The sequence below is a fragment of the Homo sapiens genome, chromosome 6, assembly GCF_000001405.40.
Source record: "Homo sapiens chromosome 6, GRCh38.p14 Primary Assembly".
In the NCBI taxonomy this organism is placed as follows: domain Eukaryota; kingdom Metazoa; phylum Chordata; class Mammalia; order Primates; family Hominidae; genus Homo; species Homo sapiens.
The window spans coordinates 169,363,792-169,388,406 of NC_000006.12; the positions used below are offsets into that span (position 1 = coordinate 169,363,792).

Genomic DNA, 24,615 nt, shown 5'->3' on the forward strand with positions numbered 1-24,615 from the left:
GAACCAGGGCCCAGAGGAGCCCACATGTGTCACTGTCTTGTGCAGGGTGCTCAGTAATGGCTTTGGTATTCGTGAACAGACTCTTTGTATCTCTTCTGTCTCTCTTCGCATTTGCAGAGAATAAACCTATTTCACAAATATTGTGTCAGAATTTGATAATTTGGTTATTGGCATGGAGTTTGGAATACTTAATTCACAGCAAGGATAGGAAATTGCACTACCTGTGAGAAGTTGGAGGCCTGTGTCCTTGGTCATGGTCAGGCTAAACCCCTGGAAAAGCTGGAGCTCCGACCCTGACCCACCTTCAAACCTGTTTTTGTCTCTCATATCTCCAGAGACTTCCAGAAGGAATCCCTGTGCTAATGTTCTGTTACACTAATGTAATAGATCACCTATTCAATATAAGGCATTATGAAGACATAGCATCTTTGAGACCCCTGAAGAATAAACTATTACTGTTGCTGGTACTGGTGTTAAATGATCGTTTATTTCATGTTACTTAAAAACAATTTCCCTACCTATCTACAATTTGATTGTAGCTAGAGTCAGGAGAAGAAATAAATAGATCAGGACCTTTCTCTGGTAAAGTACTTGGATTTCAAAGTATTTGTTTTCAATCAAATACAACTAGGGAACATCATAGCAAACAAAGACAATTCTGAGGAGTTATTAGAATGATATCAGGGATAATTGTTTAAAAAGTATTGTGAACCAGAGGCATAACACTTGAAAATTTAAAACACCACGATTACATGGCATGATACATTATAAAACACAAAATGAAATCTCAAAAATTGGTTATAAGGTTATAATAAGATAACTTTTTCCTTGTTGGTTATTACTTCCACAGCGAAAAGTAAAAATACAACTTGGCTAATGACATGCCTGCCATGTGTTATGCTCACAAGCGTCCGTCCCTCAAGCCAAGGGTGTAATGAGCTCTGGGACTCGGTTTATTAAAAGTAAACCATGGATGCGATTATTCAGTTCTCTGAGGAGAAAACTGGGGGCTGAAATATTACATCCCCAGTGACGGAATAACAATGGCTGTATTTGGGTGAGCAAATTTTAATTCTCAAGTCATTATGGTCTGTAAAAAATAAAATTTTGGACAAATAGGTAACTTTATGCACCAACTGGAATGAAATAAGAGGGCTGAGTAGCATAGGGACAAGAAAATTGGAGGCAATTTCTCCAGGATTGGCTAAAAAAGGCCTGGTTGGATGATGGATGATGCTAGCAATACAGTGTTTCACAACCATAAACACACTCAAGGATACATGTGATTGGCAAATACTAAGAAGTTTGACAACACAAAGGACGGAATCAATGGAGCAGTTGTGGAAGTCGGACTCAGCACCGCACAGCCACACCTGCATTGAAGATCACCTGTGAGCATTTTCCTTCAGGACATCTCTGGACGTGCGTGCATTTCCAACATCTCTGGACGTGTGTGCATTTCCAGCGGCTTGGCCAACGGCACCACAGGTTTCAGAAGCTCGATGGAGCAAGACCAAAAACACCAGCGAACGCCAGCATGAGTGTAAATGGATCCTTTCAAAAGAAAACTACATTTGCTGTAGGAAAATTGTCTTTGGTGGATTCCAAATCATTACACTTTCAATGGTGCATTTGCAGAGCTCTGACCTGGAAGTCAAACTCAGAGGCGCCAGAAAGGTCACGTTTTATTTAGCCCAAGCATCTTGTCCTCTCGCCTCTTGGTTGATTTCTTTACTGGGATTTGAAAATGTTGAGTTCATTTCACGATTTTACCTCCTAGGAAAATGAATCCAATAATCAGGAAGAAGAGGGGCAGGGAAGGAATTTCTGTGGGGGGTGGGGTAGTGGGGGAGTGGAAGTGCTGTGGCCAAGTCAACAAGAATTTTCCCCAGAACAAATGTCTTTTCAAGTTCATGCTGAATAGTCTCTATCCATCAGGCAGCTGCGAGGATGTCAACGCGTAGCTGCGAACACAGCCTGGAGGCCCAACATCCCAGCGGGTGGAAATGAACGCTGTCTGGAAACACAGGTGCATAAACAGCCACGCCCTGCCAAGCCCTTCACAACAGAAAAACACCACCACCCTACTCCACTTCTAGCAGGTTTCAGTCATTAGCAAGATGGATTTTCCTCAGTAAAACAGTGTGTTATTTTGCCTTTGAGGAAATATAACAAATGGGGAAATCTTTTGGGAAGTAACACACATACCCACAGTCATCACAGCCGTGGGTCTCGATCAGTCCCACAGGTGTGGGCATCGCCCCCGCCATGGGGTCAGGCACACCCAGCCTCCTGTTCAGGGAAGCTGCCTGCTGACCAGCTGGTGGTCATACAGTGACGGGGACAGGAGGTTTCCCAGGTCCCCACTCCAGCAGGCACCTTCCAGTTTGGAAACCTGGACATGTTACCAAACCTGCATGAGCCTCCATTTCCTGAAATGCAATGGAGGTAACGTGGATGGCTGTGGCACAGGGAGGCTGTGGGGGCTCAGCGGGACCAACACCAACGGGAACATCACCAGGAGGCCAGGCACAGGAGGCACATGTGGGAATATCCCCAGGACGCCAGGCACAGGAGGCACGCTCAGGAGCCTCAGCCATTGCTGGTGACGTCTGCACTGCCCTGTGCAGTCCTGGATCTCTTACATGTCGCTGGTTGGAGCCACTTAAACAAATTACAACGGAGCGAGACCACACAGAGCTTGGAAAGTGTGTGTCGGCGTGTGCATGTGAGAGACAGACAGAGAGAGAGAGAGACAGAGACAGAGAGAGAAAGAGGCTCCTTCCTTCCTTCAACAAGCATGTGCCAAGCACAAGATGGCCCAGGCCCTGCGGTGAAGCCCAGTCCCTTTGCTGTCTCCCATTGTCTTTCAGGAGGATAAACACATCAGCCTACAAACAGCCCAGCAGGGAGAATGTGGCAGCCTCTGACTGTTGGGATCTGCTCTTCTGTCAACTCCCATGGGCGGAGACCCCCTGGTGTTTTCAGTGTGGAGGCCAGTTCCCGGCAGGCAGTAGGTGCTCAGTAAAGTCTTCCTGGTGAGCTGGGAAAGGCCCTGAGGGAAGACACAGCTGTGGGCTTCACAGTGCAGGGAAGAGCAGCAGCCCCAGCCCGGGCGTCAGGAGCTGTGAAGGGCTGAACTGTGTCCCTGTAATTTTCATGCTCAAGTCCTGAACCCCCATCCCTCAGTGTGACTGAGTTTGGAGACGGGGTCTTTATTTTTTCTCTCTTTTTAATTTTAGATGCAGGGTGTGCAGGTGCAGGTTTGTGACCTGGGTATACTGCATCACCCTGAGGTTTCGGCTGCTATGGATCCCATCACCCAGGCACTGAGCACGGCACCCAGCAGGAAGTTTTTCAGCCATTGCCCCCTCCCACCCTCTCCTCTACAGCGGTCCCCAGTGTCTGCTGCTCCCACCTTTGTGCCTCTGCGTACCCAGCTATTAGCTCCCACTGATGCACGAGGACATGCTATATCTGGTTTTCTGTTCCTGCCTTACCTCTCTTAGAATAATGGCCTCCAGCTGCATCCATGTGACTGCAAAGAACACGAACTGATTCTTTTTTATGGCTGCGTAGTATTCCATGGTGTCTATGTACCACATTTTCTTTATGCAGTCCACTGTTGATGGGCACCTAGGTTGATTCCATGTCTTTGCTGTTGTGAATAGTGCCATGATAAACATGTGAGTGTATGTGTCTTTTTGATAGAAGTATTTATTTTCCTTTGAGTCATGGGATTCCTGAGTGAAATGGTATTTCCACTTTTAGCTCTTTGAAAAATTGGAGACAGGGTCGTTGCAGAGTTGATTAAGTTAAAACAAGGCCATGAGGGTGCCGAATCCATGTCAGGGGCGTCCTTAGAAGAAGAGGATATATTAGGACGCACAGAGACACCCTGTGTCCATGTGCACAGAGGGGCACCCACATGGACACCACGAGGAGGTACTGTCTGCAAGCCAAGGAGAGAGGCCCCAGAGAAGCCAACCTGCCCAAGCCTTGACCTTGGACCTCCAGCCTCCAGCACTGTGAGGAAAACACATGTGTGGTTAAACCTGGTCCACGGTGTTAGGAAGCCTAACTTCTGGGCCTGAGAGGACACCTCAGCACCCCGTGTCTCCTTATTCCTTACGCATCAAAAGGAGACCCCTGCACACCTGTGTCCACGTTTGAAGACACACTCTGCACCCCGTGGAACACTCCAGAAAGCTAAAGTTGCATGGAAGCATGAGGAGCCACTCTCAACACCATCATGACTCGCACCCCCAACGGACCATTCCGGAAAGCTAAAGGTGCATGGAAGCACGAGGAGCCACTCTCAACACCATCATGGCTCACACCCCATGTGGAACATTCCAGAAAGCTAAAGGTGCTCAAAAGCACGAGGAGCCACTCTCAACACCATCACAGCTCTCACCTCCAGTTTTGTTCTTGTTGTTGCTTGTGTTTCTTTGTCCTGGCAACATCCGCCCTGAGAATGTCTCTTCACTCCTGCAGGAATATCCAGACTGTGCTCCTACTCAGGATCCCATTCCAGGGCCTGGTTCCTTCCCCCAGCGGGCAGACACATCCAGTAGGCGACCAGCCAGCAGCGCATGTAGACAGCATCGACGCCGATACCAGGCTCAGAGGACAGAACCATATTCCAGAGGAGCTGGGGAGAGGCGTTGTCTCCAATCCAGTTGAGGTCACCACGTCTTGGTGGAAATGGTGGCTTTTGAACTGAGCCTTGAGAAATAAAAAGCAAAGCAGCAAACAGTGGGGGACCGGGAGAAGGGAACAGAATGAGCGAAGACACAGCAGGAGGGCGGCTTCTAAAGCGCTGGAGAGACAGACCCAGCTAGCACTGATCCAGCAAAGCGATTGTGCAGGGGAAGCAGGATGCCCGGGTGGGGTATGCAGAGCCTTAAACTCCAGGCCAATGTGCCAGGGACTTGTACTGGGGCACTGCACTATCAGGGCTGAGTTCAGGAAGAATAACCGTGATGTCCAACAGTCAAAATAAAAGCTCTTTAAAAAATGAAGTAGGTACAAAGCACAGTGTTTAACAAGTTGATTATCTTTTGAGACTTCAGGGTGATAAGCAGGACATGTGGCATATCAGAATCTAAGACACTACGGCACCAGGCCTTCCCATTCTTCACAGGCACCTTCGTCCTGGAGAAGTATCATCATTCAGTAGAGTCTTACCAAGCGTTTATTCTGTGCATGACTAAGTTAGAAACGGGGAAAATAAAGAAGGAAAAGTCTGTTTCATTCTGAAGAGTCCCACAGTCTGGTCAGGGAGTCAGACACCTCAGTGAGCTATACAACCATCTACCCTTCAGTAAGTGTTAAATGAAGGTCTGTGAAGATGGGAGGGGCTTCAGGGAGACGCAGCATTTGAGTGGAATCTTGGCAGGTGGAGAGAAGCCCCTGTCTGCACCCCACTCACTGAGGCCCCAGCCCACCCCACCACCCTGTGCAGGCTGCCGATGCTGACTCATCTCAGTGGTCTATCAAGAGGTTCCTATGCTCTGCTATTGCCGGAAAACACCTCTCTTCTGAGTCTCTCCCGAGTCTCTCCCTAAAGGAAGGATATGAAAGAGGACTCTGTAGCCACAGAACGTTTCAGACACCACCTATGTCTTCCCTCGTCAGCCCCTGCGGTGCAGCAGAGGGTGTTTAATCTAGTTCCTTGTTCTTTCAAACACATCCAAATTTCACCACTTCTCTTAATGAATTATGACATCTATGGAAAACTATGTTTGCAATCTTACAGAATGATAAATGCCACGACAGCTCATAAAACTTAAATTTGTTTTATTGCTAATTAATGATGTTTTAGCATCCCTAAGGAAAGTTTTCTGATTGTTATTCATCTATATGGACAACATTTTAAATTACTATTTTCGAGAAAAATTAAGTTACTTAGAAATAGATTAGGAATACTAACACAGTATGAATCGCTGAACCATGCAAGCCACAGAGGTGAGGTTGCCTTTCATATGTGCGTGCAGAGGCCCGGGGTAAGGAGAGCCGTATTGAGGCTGGCAGGGTGTGACAGGCTGCGTACAAGCTCCACAGTCCACATTAAGCGCGCGGCCCTGGGATATAACACACGATTTACACTTGAGTTTCTATGGCTTTTCCTAATTCATGAAGCAACCCCATAGAATTTGCCAGAAATTATTAGATCAGCTCAGGGCTTCATTTCCAAAGTCTCCAGGTGACAATGCCTGGCCTCTCTGGTCGCTTCTGGGCAGGAAAGAGATGCAAAAGTGCTTCTCAGCCCCAAATGATCTACCTCCCTCCCATGCCCTGAAACCTTCCAGTCACCTTAATTCAGCGGCGGCTCTCACACCTGCAGGTGCAGCGGGCCCCCTGCAGGGCTGGATCATCAGACAGTGAGGCCCTGCCTCTGTCCCCCTGAGGCAGCAGCAGAACTTGGCTGGGGCCCGGGTCAGCGTCCTGACAAGTCCCAGGAGGTGCTGATGGAGGTACAGCGACCACACTTGGAAGATCGCTGCCTTGACTCAGCACACCAGAGAATCCACGTGGTAGCCACAGATGACGCATCCTGGCCGGGCCTCCAGGGCTCCTTCTGTCCACCCACAGGAACCCCCAGAGCTGTGAGGAGGAAGAGAAGCCAGGTGTTTTTTCACACTAATGGATATACTGTGTATTTTTTTCAGTGCAGAACCATCCTGATGGCAGTCGTGAGCTCACAGGAAAGCACAGTGGCTCACGGAGGGCACATGGGGTGGTGTTTCAGGCCCATCCACTGGAGCTCACTCTTCCTCATGGGCCCCGACGGTGGGCAGCCCCAGCCTCTGCTTCCCACCCTGCATCCCACCCCCACCCACCGCCTTAATTCACCATTCTTTACTGCTGTTTTTGATGGCAAAGAAAGTGACTCAGAAACTTCAGCAAACACAAACAACAGAGGATGTTTTGGAAAGCCATGAGGTGATGGTTCACAGAATTGAAACGAAAGCCACGGCTCCCTGCAATGGACACGGCAGTTTATCCCTCCTGTCCAGCTAAACGTCATACCTTTTCACCAACCTCCCCTCCTGCCCCTCCACAGCCTCCCTTAGACATCACACATTGCATATTTCAGATTTCTTGAAAGAGTCGTTTTAAATGTTTTCACCACAAAAAAAGATAAGTGTGTGAGGGGATGGACAGACTCATTAGCTTGACTCAACCATTCCACAATGTATACATGTATCAAAACATCCTACTGAACCCCACAAATATATAATAATATACAATTTTTAACATTTATAAAGGAAAAAAAGAAAAAATTCAATACAGAAAGAAAAAAAAAGCAAAACAACCAGACCTCCAGAGGGCAGACGTGGGGGAGGCCCTGGGAACCAGTGACCATCCCTCTGGCCCTCCAAGGTGCTGCCTTGGGTACCTGCCCCACAAGGTGAGTGAAAAAGCTCCTGTGACTCATGAAGACTTGAAGTCCTGGGAGAGAGAGGCTGGTAGGATTTGATCAACGTCTTGCAGTGGGTGGTGGCAGGACGAGTGGCTGGCAGGTGAAGGTCCCAGGGTCTGATGTAACCACTCAGTTCACCCCATGTCCTGCCCCAAGGACTGTCCTGGAACCCTGTGGCCACTCTGGGCAGGTGCCCTGCTGGGCTGACCCTCGCCGTCCTTCTCCAGGACACTGAGTCTAGGCCACCTGTTGATATTTTTATTGACAACGATGTTCTCCACCCAAATAGAGTCCCTTGCTGGAATCTGCGTCACACATCTGGTTCCCAGGGATGCACCCGGTGCTCCAGCAGCGCATTCCAGTGACAGCCTGGTAATGGAAAAGGAGCAGAGCGAGCAGCACCAGGAAGGGCCCTGAGGGGGCTCTGTCAGTGAAGGAGAGAAAGAGCTAGGGAAGCAGACAAACAACGGCAGCTTCCGATGCTCAGGCTGAAGAGCTGGGCAAGGCTCTCCCTCTCTCTCAGACACACACATCACACACCACACACACCACACCACACACCACAAACACAAGACACCACACACCACACACACGACACTCACACCACACACACCACACAGCACACACACGCTACACACACCACACAAAACACACACCACACACACACCACACAACACACCACACACACCACACACACCACACACTACACACACCACACAAAACACATCACACACACACCAAACACCACACACACAACACTCACACCACACACACCACACAACACTCACACCACACACTACACACGCCACACCACACACACACCAAACACCACACAAACACCACACATGACACACACCACACCACACACACCACTCTTATACCACACACCACACACACACAACACACACACCATACACCACACACACCACACACACCACACACGGCACACACCACAAACCACACACCACAAACACAACACACCACACACCACACACACAAGCCACACACACATACCACACACACACACCACACACACACCAACCACACACACCACACCACAAACACAACACACCACACACCACACACACACAACACACACACCATACACCACACACACCACACACACCACACACGGCACACACCACAAACCACACACCACAAACACAACACACCACACACCACACACACCACAAACCACACACACTCCACACACATCACACACCACACACACACCACACACACCACACATACACACCACACACACCACAAACGCAACACACCACACACCACACACACCACAGCACACCACACACACAACATACACACCATACACCACACACACACACCACATACCACACACACACCACACACCACACAAAACACACCACACACACCAAACACAGCACACACACACCACACACCACGAACACACCACACACCACACACCACGAACACACCACACACACACCATACACACACAAAACACCCACAACACACACACCACACACCACAGATACCACACACACCACATACCACACACACACCACACACCACACACACACACACACCCCACACACCACATATCTCACACACACCACACACATCACACACCACACACCATACACACCACACATGCCACACAACACACACACCACATACCACACACAGCACACACACACACTGGCGTTACCATGCACTACTCAAATCCAGACTCTTCTACTACATACGCCACTCCCCAGGATTAAGATCTTAATTCAACGGAATTCAAGGAGCTCTAAATGAGCGTGGGTGCCCCAGGTCCCGTCTCACTCTGTGCTTTTGTGTTCAAAGGCTTCTTTCGCTTGAGGATGTATTTGGTGCACACCTCGAAGGTGACTGGTCCCGGTTCTTGCAGCCAGACACCTGCCGGGCATCTCTGACTGAAGAGTGCCATGCAGTCCACACAGCTCTGAGAACTGAGCATCTCAAAGCAGGAAACCCTGCTTTTGGGAATTGCCCAAGATCCTACAGGGAGTCTTTGCGAAAACAGGATTCAGGACTCACAACCCCAAAGCTAAACAATCTGGTTCAACCTAATAATGGATTAGCAGCAACCAGGATGGAACGAGCTGGAGGCCATTATTCTAAGTGAAGTAACTCACGAATGGAAAACCAAACCTCCTATGTTCTCACTGTTAAGTGTGAGCTAAGCTAGGAGGATGCAAAGGCATAAGAATGATACAATGGACTCTGGGGACCCAGGGGGAGCGTGGGAGCGGGGCAAGGGATAAAAGACTACATATTGGTTACAGTGAACACTGCTGGAGTGATGGGTGCACCAAAACCTCAGAGATCACCACTAAAGAACTTTTCCATGCAACCAAATACCACCTGTTCCCTCAAAACTAGTAAAATAAAAATAAAATAATAAAATATGCATGCAAGGTAAAATAAATAAATAAATAAATACACAATCTGGTTCAAAACTAATTATTTTATCTGATGAGGTTGAGTTTAGCTTAGTGAGCCACACCTCCCCGGCACTTTTAAATTACCACAATGCCAGGGAGAATGGTGTTCTTTGGTTGCAAAGTGAAAGTCAACGTAGAAAAACCAATGCAAATTTAATTAAATCTCATGCCATTGATCCTAATGCTCCTTTCTTGTTTCATGGAACTGCTTGCAAAGGTCTGCGATGGTATCCAGAAATGCAGCACACCCTTGTGTTTCAGGATCCAGTCTCTCCATGTGATCTCACAGGTGGAGCCAGTCTCTCCATGTGATCTCACAGGTGGAGCCAGTCTCTCCATGTGATCTCACAGGTGGAGCCAGTCTCTCCATGTGATCTCACAGGTGGAGCCAGTCTCTCCATGTGATCTCATAGGTGGGTTCAGAATAAACCCAGGGTTTTTGTATGAACTAAATAACATATGTGCGGCTCTCAGAATTTTATTACTTGATCTATTGTATGCACATGAAAATAATGTATTTATTCACTCTGTATCTACTCTGCCTCTTTGTGTGTGAAACCTTTGAGTGGGGTTCATATTCCCCTTATTTTCCCTTGGCCCCTTTTAAGTCTATACCTCCGTCTGGAGATCACCAGTCTTCTGATTTTTGTCATTATCAGTTAGTTGTGTCTGTTTTGGACTTTGTGGAAATGGAACCAGACAGTGGGAACTCTTCTGTGTCTGGCTTCTTTCACGCACATGTTTGTTGTGAAACAAACATCAATATTCTTGGTACACTCGTGGTTTATTGTTTTATCACACTATAGTTTTCCATTGCAAGGCTATAAAAATGTATTTATTTCTTCTCTTGTTCTGAGCATTTGGGTTGTGTCCAGTTTGGATTTACTGTGCATAAAGCTGCTATGGATGTTCTTGCACATGTCCTTTTGTGGACTGCGCCACTCATTTCCCATAGTTAGAGCTAGGAGCAGGATTTCGGGTCATAGGATAGGCATATCTTTAAATTTAGTAAATATTGCTGAAGAATTTTTCCAGAATGGTGGAACCACTTTATATTCCCAGAGCAATAGGTGAGTTCTCATCACCAAGTCCTCCCCAGAAGTTGGCATTTTCAGTCTCTTTAGCCTTACGCATCCTGGTGAGTGTGCAATTCTCCCTCACTGTGGATTTAATTTTCATTTTCTTGAAAACAAATGATCTTGATCACCTCCTCATAGCTCCCTGGCCATTGGGATATCCCGTTTTGTGAAGTGCCCACACAGGCTATTGCTCAGCTTTTAAATTGGATTGTGTTTTTCTGATTGATTTTCTAGGGCTTCCTCCTGTGTTGTGGGAACTAATGAAAGCACTTATCTTTTCACTTTCTTAAGGTTGTCATCTGATGAACAGAAGTTCTAAATTCTGCTGAAGTCCAATTGATCTTTTAATCAGTATTTTTAGTGCTTTGTACACCTTAAAATATATTAGCTTCCTGAAGGTCATGAAGATAATTTATAAGACAAATTTCTAGAAGGAGGTAGTTTGGTTTGACTTGGCAAAGATATGAGGAAGCGGTAGGAAGAAAATCGAGCTTACTGTATATGACTATTTTCTTTTCATTCTATTGACTTTATTTCTCAGTCTCTCAGTTGACTGATAACTGAGAGGAATGTTGGTCTGAATGATACGCAGAAACTGGTTAAAGCCAGAGTGTTTAAGGAGACACAGTGAGCTTACCCAAGGGCAGAAGGCAGAGGGAATTAAAGCAGAATCATTCTCATCTGAAGAGACTTTGCCCATAAGAATTCTTGCAAAAAGCAGACTGCCTCCATGCCCAGGATGCCATTTTTAAAGAAATGATTTATGCAGGTCTCATAAAAAATGTTCAGTCAAAGGACATGAGTTCAAGTGACTTCTTCAGCCTGGCATAAACACTCATGCCTCCAGCCAAGAGGACGTGGCCAGGCAAGGCCCGCGACGTTCCTGCTGCGCGGAGTCATCACTGTCATCCAGGCTTCAGAATTTCTACCAAGTTTTGCCTCTGAACTTTATTTTTCTTTTCTCTCCAAAAACTCAGGGAACGCACTCCACTGTTATTGTTTTGTTGCAAAAGGAATGATTTAGATTTCTGGTGAGGAAAATTTGAACAGACAGTTAATTTTACTAAAAAGTTTTGGTTCTGATCACAGCCCACATTCCAGAGCAAATAGAGCAAAGGGATTGTCTTTTTTGTAAAATCTGAAGTCAAATTGTCCCAGCTGTCAGATCCTTCTACACACAAAAACTAGAGATAAATATGTGATGAGATCTTAGAGCATTCCAATATCAAGTTTTTGGGAATTATGAAGGCACTTTACATGAAATTCATGTCCTATCATTTTTCTTATTTTTCACAATGACTTCTCACATTGACATTAAAATGAATTCTCACAATGACATTAAAACATCTTTTAAAATATTCAAAACATAAATGATCAATTTATTCCCATCTTTTTATTTCATGTAGATTTTTTCATAGCCTGTTAAAATTACAACAAAATATAAGATGTGTTAAATCCATCTCTCCCCTTCTACCACTTCTTACTGATGTTGCCATTTCTGAGGATTCTAATTTTCTTCTCCTTTTCTTCCATTGAATGAAAATGGTTTTAATTTTAACAGTTCTGTCAATATTGCCTGTCTTTTTTCAAAAACATTTGTTCTTGTAGCATGGACTGGAGACCCATGGTGCAGCACATCCCGAATATTTGCTCTCTGGGTCTGCACAAGATTCAATGCCCTTGACTATGACACCCGTGCACCAAGTCACTGGCCTTGTCATGAGCCCTTGTGTTACTCCTCTTCCAAAATAGTGTCCTCTTTTCCCCACCGATGCCCTCACTGCATGGCGGTAGAAATGAAGCCCCGTGGCTGCTGCCTCCTCACCGCCGCCTTCTGTCAACCTCCTGGTTTTACTCACGTTGCATCTGATTCCCTGGTTTCTAGCTCCATCTTCCTCTCCACTGTGGCCCCTGCCACCCTCCTATGTGACTTCAGTGTCCACACAGACAGCACCCCAACCCTGACCTCCGAGGTAACCTCAGTGTCCACACAGACAGCACCCCAACCCTGACCTCCGAGGTAACCTTGGTGTCCACAGACAGCACCCCAACCCTGACCTCCTAGGTAACTTCATTGTCCACATGGACTGCACCCCGACCCTGACGTCCTAGGTAACCTCAGTGTCCACATGGACTGCACCCCGACCCTGACCTCCTAGGTAACCTCAGTGTCCACATGGACTGCACCCTGACCCTGACCTCCTATGTGACTTCAGTGTCCACACAGACAGCACCCCGACCCTGACCTCTGAGGTAACCTCAGTGTCCACACAGACAGCACCCCGACCCTGACCTCTGAGGTAACCTCAGTGTCCACACAGACAGCACCCCGACCCTGACCTCCTATGTGACTTCAGTGTCCACACAGACAGCACCCCAACCCTGACCTCTGAGGTAACCTCGGTGTCCACAGACAGCACCCCAACCCTGACCTCCTAGGTAACTTCATTGTCCACATGGACTGCACCCCGACCCTGACCTCCTAGGTAACCTCAGTGTCCACATGGACTGCACCCTGACCCTGACCTCCTATGTGACTTCAGTGTCCACACAGACAGCACCCCGACCCTGACCTCTGAGGTAACCTCAGTGTCCACACAGACAGCACCCCGACCCTGACCTCTGAGGTAACCTCAGTGTCCACACAGACAGCACCCCGACCCTGACCTCCTATGTGACTTCAGTGTCCACACAGACAGCACCCCAACCCTGACCTCTGAGGTAACCTCGGTGTCCACAGACAGCACCCCAACCCTGACCTCCTAGGTAACTTCATTGTCCACATGGACTGCACCCCGACCCTGACCTCCTAGGTAACCTCAGTGTCCACATGGACTGCACCCTGACCCTGACCTCCTATGTGACTTCAGTGTCCACATGGACAGCACCCTGACCCTGACCTCCTAGGTAACCTCAGTGTCCACATGAACTGCACCCCAACCCTGACCTGAAGGCTCATGCTGCTCTACTGACCCCCAGCCACCCCCCAGCCGCCCACGGCCTTCCCCTCTCCTGGGAACACCCTGATCTACGGGAACACATGAGCGCGGCAGTGAGCTGAGGAACCCGGCACCTGGCCACGGCCTCCTCTCCTTCCTGCCAACCTGTCCAACAGCTCCTCCACCACCAAATCCCCGACATAATCATTATCAGGGCATCAGCCAGCAGTCTCCAGGCAAGCAGCACCAACCGGACACACATACACAGATTCATCGTAAGGAATTGGCTCATGCAATTGTGGGGCTGGCAAGCGTGGCATCCGCAGGGCAGGCTGGCACACCGGAGACCCAGGGGAGAGCGGATGGTGTAGCCTTGAGTCTGGAGACTCAGGCAGAATTTCTATGCTGCAGTCTGGAGCCAGAATTCCTTCTTCCTTAAGGGACCTCCGTTTTTTTCTCTTAATCTCTTTAACTGATTGGATGAGGTTCACCCAAATTATAAACGGTAACTGACTTTATTCAAAGTCTGCTAGTTTAGATGTTAATCACATCTACAAAATATCTTCACAGCAATATCCAGCTGGTGTTTGAGCAAACGAAGGGGGCCATGGCCCAGCCGTGTGCACTTAGAAAAGCCACTCTTGGCTCCATCACTCAGCCCTGGTTATGGTCTAACCAACCATCATCCAGCTTAAAATTAAAATTTTAATTTAATTTTCCAATGCCGTCGTCAGGTTTTTGCTAAATTTTCACCTCATCCATTTGGAAAAAACTCAACTCCACATGAACTCTAAACAAAGTGAACTACTCAGCCTGTCTCTGCCTGCCCACAGCAACTCACCACTTCTAGAGAAAAATCCCCACACTGAGAACAGGTCCTCTACGGATGGTGACCACTAACTCCAGTGAGCTCCGGAATCTTCCTGACAAGATATCACTCCCCCAGGCCCCATACAGTCCTCCCAGATGTGCCAAGAAACTATAGCAGCCTCCTCTCCTCTCCTGCTGGTGTAGGAGGGAGGCAGGGGCATCACGCTCCTCTCTCGTGTCTGTGCCGAGGCCCCATCCCTTCTGGCCTCCCAGGAACTGTACGAGCAAATGTTCCATCTCAGAATCCATCTGTACCAGCACATGTCCTGACCCGGAATCTGTCCTATTGACGTGTGTACATGTTCCAGCCTCTCCTGCCAACGACGTCCCTCCAAACCCTGAATTGCTTTCTGATGGCCAGCCTGGTTCTCTCTTCTGCACACAGACACTGTCAAAAATGTGACTTGCACCACTTTCCCTCTCTCTGCCTCTTACATACTCACCAGTCCCCTGTCTGCCTTCTCTCCATAACAACCTGATGAAAAAACTTTGGTTAATACCAACCGTGTTCCATATTTTCACACGCACAAGAGGCCCAGCAGGCCCAGGTCCCCGCGGGTTTCCACACGTGGCCTCTCCTGATGTGCGGGATTCTCCCAGCAGGCCCAGGTCCCCGTGGGCTTCCACGCGCGGCCTCTGCTGGTGTCCAGAACTCGCCGTCCCTTTGGCTTTGCCACGCCATCATGGCTTCCCTTCTCCTCCTTCTTCTTTGGCTTTTCCAAGACCTTCAAGTGTCTGCATTCCCTGGAGCAGGACCATGAGCCTCCACCCGTGTCTCTCTGCATCCCTGCAGGTGACCTTATTTGGTTCTATGAGTCCAACCCCCATCCACATGCTAATGAGTAAATATATTCCCTCCCAAATCTTCCCCCAGCACCAGAGCTGCCTGGATTTTCCTCTAAGTTAGGAGGAAGCATTGGCAAGAGCTCTGCTGAACAGATCAGTCTCTGGGCTGTCATGGAAAAAAGACTCAGGATTATACAATGATGTTTTCAGGGAGAAGCTCCCTTTCAGTGCAAAGCAGCGAGCAGCGCCCTCAATGCTGTGGAAAGGAGCCACGCCAGGGGACTGGCCATGGGGCTGCCAGGAAATCCAGCAGCATCCCGGGGACAGGACCTCGGGGAGCCCACATGGCCTCATCCCACAGGCAACAGCCCATGTGCTCCTGAGCCCAGCTGCCTCTCTCCATCACCGTAGGTTCTGGGATCTCACACACGGCCAAAGCCATCGGGCTTCACGCAGGTCTCACTGACTTGAACTTGAGGAAGCGCTGTTCACTCAGCGGTGCCCTGTCTGGAGGAAATTCCCGGGTCTTTCTGCACTTCTTACGATTGCAAATGACCAGGAAAAGAACTTGGAGGTCAGAAGAGTGGGGCTGCCCAGCCCTCAAAGCCCTGGCACTGTGCAGTTTCAAGCTGCAGTTACCTCGGAAAGAGGAGGCTGCATTTGCACTGCAGGTGCAGGAACGTTCACCCACACGGCTCAGAAACGTTCTCACACATGCGGAGCTGTGTCCAGTTGGCACCGGCCGCAAAGCTGCACCTACCACCTGTGGAAGTGCGAGGCAACACAAACATCCTGACTCATGTCCCCATCGTGACTTGGTGCATTTCATTGGGTGTGTGTGTGGGGGTGTGTATGTGTGTATGCGTATGTATGTAGGTGTATGTGTGCATGTGTATGTATGTGTGTATGGGTATGCATGTGTGTGTATGTGTGTGTGTGTACATATAGATTTTTTCCCAGCATGTGATTCCAGAACCTTGTACACCTAATGGTGACACATAGCCCCTAGGTCAGATCTAATGAGGACCCTGAGGCAGTGTGGTTTATGACTGTGAACCTGCCTGGCCTAAAAGCCTGGGGTCTGTGCAGCATCCTCACTGCAAAAAGCCAGGAACGCTTCATGATAAACATTTCATCAGCAAGGGAAGGGATGTCCCTAAATCACGTTGTAACTGAGCAGACATTCACAGGGAAAACTTTCTGCCAGAGACACTCTCTGAAGGAAGAGAAGAGTCAGGCCTTAGCCCAGCAGTGGGGCCCCAGGCCAGCCTGGCCCGAGAAGAGTGAGAGAAACCTGGAGCCTTCGTCTGCACTGTTTTAACAACCAAAAGTGGCCACAAAGCTTGGGACCTTCTTGAAATGACACAGAGGGGCTGAGAAGGGAGGCCCAGGAGCAGAGGCTGGGCAGCACGGAAACACCACGGCCGGGTCATGATGGACCCCAGCTGGTGGGGACGTCCCAGGACCACAGTCACATGGCCCACCCAAAGCCTCCTGCCCACGTGGAGAAATTGCACACAATGAGGGGAGCTCCAGGCTGGAAATGGGGTCTCCGGCCAGGCCACTGCCATAGTCTTGTACAACAACAGAGACGAGAATTTCAGGTACACAGATTCACATGGCAAGTGTGCAGACGGCAGCAGTGTGACTGCTTGTTTTTAGGCACTAAAGCCACTTACTCATTAAATCATGTTTAAAATCATCGTCAGTGCCTCCAATTTAAATTAACCACGCACATGGATGAAATTTTCCTTAAAATTTCCATGCTTTGAAAACTAAGCAGAAAAATGCCTGGCAATACTACTAAAATTATTTTTTTCAAATGATTTGTGTTTAATTAGAAAAGTTTACTGAATCCAAAAACATTGCTGCTCACCCGTCTCCACTAAAGAGAAATGGAAATTAGCCATATGCAAACCTGAGTGCTGGTTAGTGACCAGAATTCTACGGAGTTTAAGAATTTCACATGTGCCTTTGTCGATCTTTTTCCTTTTCCGTCACATTTTCTTTTGCAATTAACTCCAGAGACAACACCTGTCAGGGTGTAGGGGGTGAGGGGAGGACGAGCATTAGGATAAATACCTAACGCATGCGGGGCTTAAAACCTAGATGACGGGTTGATAGGTGCAACAAGCCACCATGGCACATGTATATGGAGCAAACCCGCATGGTCTGCGCAGGTATCCCAGAACTTAAAGTAATTTAAAAAAAAAAAAGAGTCAAAACTAGCTTTCTAATTTTTCCATCCAGTTAATTATATACTTATGGTCAGAATGATGATGAATAGTTATATGGCAGATATAACTATTAATACCACCAGCATTAATTCACCATAATGCAGAATTTTAACCCCTATGCAAGATCTCAGTGAGGGTTGGCTGCCAGTGCATTCACCTCACAGGCTACTCCTTTCTGGGAAATAAACTTGTATTTTAAATTTTGAGGACAGTCAGCTTATAACAAAGAAATCAGCCTTACTCCACAGTCATTTTATTTTTGATCAAACTAATGCCCAAATATGTGTGTGTGCATGTGTGTGTGAGCGTGTGTATGTGTATGTGTGCATGTGTGTATATGTGTGTGTGTGCATTGTGTGTGTATGTGTGTAGTGTGTATGTGTATGTGTGTGTTCGTGTGTGTGTAGTATGTGTATGTGTATGTATGTGTGTGTGCATGTGTGTATGTGTGTATATCTGTGTGTGCATGTGTATGTGTGGTGTGTGTGTGTGTGTGTACATCTTATTCGGCTCAGACTATTGTAACAAAACACCCCAGACTCACTGACTTTAACAGCAGGCAGTTAACTTCTCACAGTTCTGGAGGCTGCAAGTCCAAGGTTAGTTAAGGTGCCAGCCATTTTGGATCTTGGCAATGGCCGTTCTTTCTGGTCTGTAGACAGCGCCTCCTCCCTGTGTCCTCACTTAGTGGAAAGAGGAAGCTCCAGCGTGTCTTTTTATGCAGCCACTGATCCCATCGTAAGCTCCCAAGGCCCCACCTCCCAACATCAACACCGTGGGGTTCAGGGCCTCAGCATCAGAATGAGGGGAGGGAGGGACGCAAACGTTCACTCCGTATCAATGTGCTTTAGAAATGGACTTGAGAAAAACAGACCAGATGTGGTGGGAGTGAGGGGGGGTAGAGTAGGAATCTGTCATTGGGATTTATTTGCAGGGTTCTAATTTTTAAGGAGGATTTTCAAATATTATTTTATAATTAGTCATAAATTTAAAATTACTCAAATTGATAGGAAAAAGGTCTTCCTGAAATCAAACTTTCTACCTCATTCCCAGAGATCATTGCTATCTACTCACCTGTCTTAATCATTACTCTTCTTTATGAATTGACCAGTGTGTATGTATGTATGTATACATCTATATATTAGTATGCAATATGAAACAGGTGTGTATGTAACCTAAAATATACATACATATCCTAAAGTTTACATGCACACCTAAATTACATACATGTACTCAGGCACACAGTAGCTGTATGCTGCTGGGACCACAGAACCCCTCCCCAGGAAGGCTCCGGGAAAGACAAGGGTCTCTGGGCTGTGATGGCCTTGGCTTCCTGAGACAGACAGGGGCCTTCTGGAGGAAGAGGGTGTCCAAGGCCTCACAGCTGTGCAGCATGTGGAGGCTGATCTCAGGGAGTGGGCAGAAAAAATGGGCTGAGCTTCCCCCCACTCAAGGTCAAGGTCCTTCCTCCAGCCAGAGGTCAAGGCAGAGTCCTTTCCAGATGCACTGCTGTCCTGTTGGGGTGCATTGTCCACTGGCTTCCTGAGAAATGGTGCCTGGGCAGTAAAGCCTGTAAGAGCTTGTATATCAACAGACATCTTTATTCTCTCCTGACACTTGATTGACAGTTTTCCCAGGTGTAGAATTTCACGTCAGAAATTAATTTCCTTCAGAACCACAAAGGCATTTCTCCACGTCGTCCTACGTCCAAGTGTTTCTTTGAGAAGCACAAAGTCTTCCTGTGTGCCGGTCTTTTGCTTTGACAGCTTCAGGCCTCTTCCTGTTGCTCCCAAGAGTTCTGAATGCCACGGTGCACGCCTTCATGCTAGTGTTTCCATTCATGTGTGAGATCTTTTGATCTGGCAACTCATGTCTCACCAGCCTGGGGAATATTCTTGAATGACTGTACTTTGTTGATATGGTTTTGCTCTGTGTCTCCACCCAAATCTTATGTCCAGTTGTAATCCCTACATGTCAAGGGAGGGAAGTGATTGGATCTTGGAGGTGTTTTCCCCATGCTGTTCTCTTCATAGTGAGTGAGTTCTCAAGATCTGATGGTTTTGTAAATGACAGTTTTTCCTGCACTCTCACTTCTCTCTCCTGCTGCCATGTGAAGAAGGACGTGTTTGCTTCCCCTTCTGCCATGATTGTAAGTTTCCTGAGGCCTCTCCAGGCATGCATAACTGTGAGTGAATTAAACCTCATTCCTTTATAAATTTCCCAGTCTCGGACAGTCTTTACAGCAGTGTGAGAACAGACTAATACATTTTTTGTTAATTTTTCAATTTTCTTGATTTTCTTCTTCTACAAATCCTTTTATTTTGGTTATTAAAACTTCTGGACTGATCTTGCAATATTTTAATATTTTATTTCCCACATTCGATCTTTTTGTGATTTTTTTTAATCTTTCACAACTTCCAGTGAGTTTTTATATAATGATGGCAATAAAAAATATCTACTGTGTATATACACATTATTTTCTCTGATCGATTATTTCTTCCGAATGCTCCTTTGCTGTGCTGCCCTGTTCACAGCTCATGAGTGTGGCATCTTCTCATCTCTCCAGGGATGTCATGGCAGTTCTCCTTCTGTTCCACCAGCACAGCTTCTGCTCCTTCCAAGCTGTTTTTCTCTACTTGTGTTTTCAGTTTTTGTCTCGATTCTCCTAGGTGCTCATTCTGTCCTGGCTGTCTGGTCATGATTAACACCCAGGGACCAAAAAGCTGGTTGACGACTCCAAGGAGATGAACAGTGCTTGTACTATCTGAACGTGACCACAGGGGTCTGGTCGGGCACGTGCTGGGACACGGGTGCCTGTGTCTTCACCTCCCTAGAGTCTCTTCAGCAGAAGGCCTGATCCCTTCTGCTGACCCTGGGCAGCACCTTGGGAGGGAGGAAGAATCTGTGGCGAAAGATGCAATGTGCACATGAGCACACAAGGGACAGTGTGGGAGTAGCTGCTGCACCCTCAATAAAACCAGGTGCTGCTCAAATGCCCCAGGCTTCTGTCAAGAAGAGGGCAGGTGTGTGCCAGAGGCCTGGGCTGTAGAAACGGACCTAGAGATCTTTTTGAATGTCTTTTCAAACAGCCTTCCCCAAATTTCTCTTTCAGTTCCACCCTTCATCCCCAGTTCTAGAGACGGATGCTGGCAATGCCTGAGGTTTTTGAAGACTTTGTGGCACCGTTTCTGCTGGACTCAGCTTTTCCTGCTGCTGCCTCAGGACTCTGCTGCATCCACTAAATCAGTTACCACCAGTCCAGCTGCTCACCCTCTCCCAGAATTTCATTACCACACATACCCTCCAGGGCATACCATCCCTGTGGCTTTTTTCAAACAAAATGCCTTTATGTTAGATTAGGTGCGTTTTCAAAATAGAAAGATATGCGAGATATCTGTTTTCAGCCTATCATCTTTGATTTATAGTTGTCTTTCCAATTCAGTTTTACATATAATTCAATATATTTGAAATTACCTTGGCGTAGGGTAGAGATAATAGTCTAAATTTATTCAAACAAAACTTTTTTAAACACTATTTTTTGAATAATCCTTTGCTACACTAGAACACGATGCTGCTGTTATTATAAATTAAGTCCTTAAATCTGTTCACCTGTTTTAAGATCATCTGTGTCCTCCCATTGATCTGTAAGTCAGTTTCCATCCCAGTACTGCCCAGTGCACCTCACCCTCACTCATGTTCTGTCACACACTTTCTCACACACATGCACTCTCACACACACGGCAGGCACATACTCTCACATATACAACATGGACACACACATGCCATACACATGCACACATGCACTTGCACACGTGGCATGCACACACTCACACACTCACACACACAGCATACACATGCACACATGCACTCACACATGGCATGCACACACACTCTCACATACACATACAAATGGCATACACATGCACAAATGCACTCACACATGGTATGCACATGCACATGCTCTCACACAACATGCACACACAAGGCATATACATGCACATATGCACCCACACACATGGTGTGCACATGTATACACTCACATGCACAACATGCACACACACACGGCAACACGCGCACTCACACACGACATGCACACACTCACATACACACACTCACACAAAACATGCACATGTGCACATGCGCTTACACACAGCAGATGTACGCATTCTAACATTCACACATGCACACACATCGTCTGCCCATGCACACATTCTCACATGCACACTTGCACTCACACACACAGTGTGCACACACACACACTCTCATACACATCTCCTGGTTTCATCTTCCTGGCATAGCTGTCTCTGAGTGGATGACAGAAGACTCTCAAAAGCAGCACTGGCGTGTGCATGGCTGCCAGTCCATCCTCTGGAGGCTCCTCCAAGCCCCTGAGAGCAGGTTACTTCTTTCAGGTTGGTAAGTTGCTGCGTTTTTAGGAAGCGAAGTCTGAGTAGACCACCAAGCGGTTGTTCTCACATTTGGCTCATTTGGCTCCATTATTTGTGGAAATTCTCTCAGTCTTTTGGAGGTCGGAAACATTTGAAACAGCATGGCTTATTTGAACAAACACCTCAAGCCCAAATTTAGTACTTTCTCAATTGTCATAACAAGCACAAGCTTTGCCAAACAAAAACAAGCAAATGAATAATAAATCAATAATACAGATTAAGCAATTTCTTCTGATTGAACAAATTTGGGGACTCAGGTTGCTAACACAGCCATGTCCTGGCTTTGAGTCATGGTTAGACGTAACATCTTGTGTGTTTTTCTTTAAATCAGAGAGGAGAAAGAAAGGACACAAAAAATAGAGCAACTGTAATTATTTTCTACAGTCCAGAAGAAAGAAATGGCCTGTGGCTGAGTTAGAGAAAAACTTGCAGAAACTGCTGACTGACTTCCATCGCCAGAAAAGGCATGGATCCCCTGCTGTCCTAACGATGCCGAGCAGCTCGGGACAGACTCCAAGCAAAGGCTCAGGATGAGTGAGAAGCAGCATCCGTGAAGCCCAGGACAGGACGTACATTCCAAACGCGGCTGAAGATAGTGAAGACCGCGAAGGGCCCTGGGGCTAGGACTCAGGCAAACTGAGTTTTAGTCCCAGAATCTGTTCTTAATTAGTTCTGTAACTCAGGGAATTAACGTATCCTCTCAAAGCTTTGGTTTGCTCACCAAAAATGCAGAAGCCATAGAATTCTAGGACCTCTCGCAGCTCTAAACCCCCATAGCAAAGACACGTGGCTCATCCGGGTTAAGAGTCGCAGTGAGAGCTGGTGCAGAGGGTGCTGAGTGAGCTGAGCCCTGCTCCCTTCTAGAAACTCCCTGTGCGGCCTCTCCGCCCAAATCCTGTGGCGTTCTGAAGTGCAGAGAGAGATGATCCCAGCTTTTTAATCTCTGAGAGACAGAAAGTTAGACAAGGAGAGACAACAGGAACCTCAACACCCCAGAATGCGGGATCAAGCAGTTCGAGCCCCCTGTGTTAGCCTGCGAGGCTAGAAACCCGTTCAGCCCCAGCACAGAACAGAGACAGGCACAGGAAGGAGCCAGGGGCTGAGAACGGACCTGGAAAGAGGACTCCGGGTTTTCCAACCATGAGCCCAAATTCCAGTCCAAGGGAAATTACCTGTGAATTTCTAACATCTAATATTTATGATGTAGGCATATAAGGAAGTTTATTTGGTTGTAAGAAATAGAGTAAAGAAAAATAAAAAATCACAGGACCCCTGAACTCCTTATGAGAAACGGAAAGTTAAGCCTGGCGGCCGAGGCACACAACTCCGGCCTCCAAAGGAACAGCTGTCACCAGGCTCATGCAGCAGCCAGACCCCACGAATGGGGGAAAGGCCTCAGTTGTCTCCAAATCACTGCCCTCACAGGCCATCCCTGAGCAAATGCTCTGCTGGCCCCCCATGAACACGGACAGACCAATTGTGACTTCAGGACTGTAATCTCAGTCCAGTTCCTGAAACTCAAGTTTGTTCAATTCCACACCAGCCGTGTCAATTTTAAGCCCACCTACCCAGGTGCAGAACAAAGTCAAGGTGAGATCAGTCACTCCCCCACCTACCCAGACACATCTTCCTGGAGTCCTCCTTCCTCATCACCTTCTCTTATGTAAAACATGGATTTGCTGGGCATGAACTAAGGTCTCACAGGAATGCAACCCTTCCCCTCACCACCTACCTGCCTCTCTGCCTACAGGGCTCCTCTCATTAGGAAATAGATCGGCACTAACCCCCCGAAAACCCCTCAAAAAACGCACAGATGTGTGTGTGGCTCCTGTCCTGGAAGTGCCCTAAAGCTGGCATAACAAACCTCGGTGATGAGACCTGCCTCAGTCACGCATTTCAGTTTTTAATGTCAGCAACCCACTTACACTGGAATTAAAAAATGGGACATTTATTCTAAGGATGTGAGGGCAACTGATGCCACCCAAATGAGGAGCACACCTGGGCCCTTTCATCTCTATGTTGTCTTTGCCTCTCCACGCTGCGTGCTTTGCTGCTGCTGTTCCCTCCTCTTGTCCCTGTGGCACCCTGTAGCCGGTTCCCCACTCCCACGACAGCTTCTCAGTCCTTGGTCTCAGCTCCAAGTTCTCAGGGGGAATAACCTGACCACTTACCTGAGGTCAGGCAGATGTCACACCTCTCCTCGTACCATCAGCTGTGGCCCATGGAAGGTGCAGACTGGGTTGTGTCTGCCAGGTACCATTCCTGTGATCCTGATGGGAATTCCCTGAGAAGGCCTGGGAAGATCCTCCTGTAGCAGCCACCACATTGAGTGAGACACAGACAGCATTTTGCTCTTCAGGGGAAATTTAGAGTCACT

General features: G+C 47.6%; 2 long non-coding RNA genes across 2 annotated transcripts, besides 1 other annotated feature; both read right to left on the reverse strand.

Annotated features, from left to right (window-relative positions):
• Positions 1-468: 468 nt before the first annotated feature.
• On the reverse strand, positions 469-3,624 carry LOC124901472 (uncharacterized). The gene is made up of 2 exons (XR_007059893.1): positions 3,501-3,624; positions 469-3,055 (listed from the first exon to the last, which is right to left on the reverse strand). It is a non-coding gene; the product is annotated as an uncharacterized LOC124901472 (long non-coding RNA).
• Positions 3,625-5,785: 2,161 nt separating this feature from the next.
• Positions 5,786-24,615, reverse strand: LINC02519 (long intergenic non-protein coding RNA 2519). Its single transcript, NR_187217.1, has 2 exons — positions 24,410-24,615; positions 5,786-6,609 (listed from the first exon to the last, which is right to left on the reverse strand). It is a non-coding gene; the product is annotated as a long intergenic non-protein coding RNA 2519 (long non-coding RNA).
• Positions 17,009-17,509: an enhancer, noted in NCBI's record as "H3K4me1 hESC enhancer chr6:169780895-169781395 (GRCh37/hg19 assembly coordinates)". NCBI's record gives its function as "activates a minimal SCP1, AML or CMV promoter by ChIP-STARR-seq in primed H9 embryonic stem cells {active_cell/tissue: H9 hESC(primed)}" and the evidence as "EXISTENCE:reporter gene assay evidence [ECO:0000049][PMID:30033119]".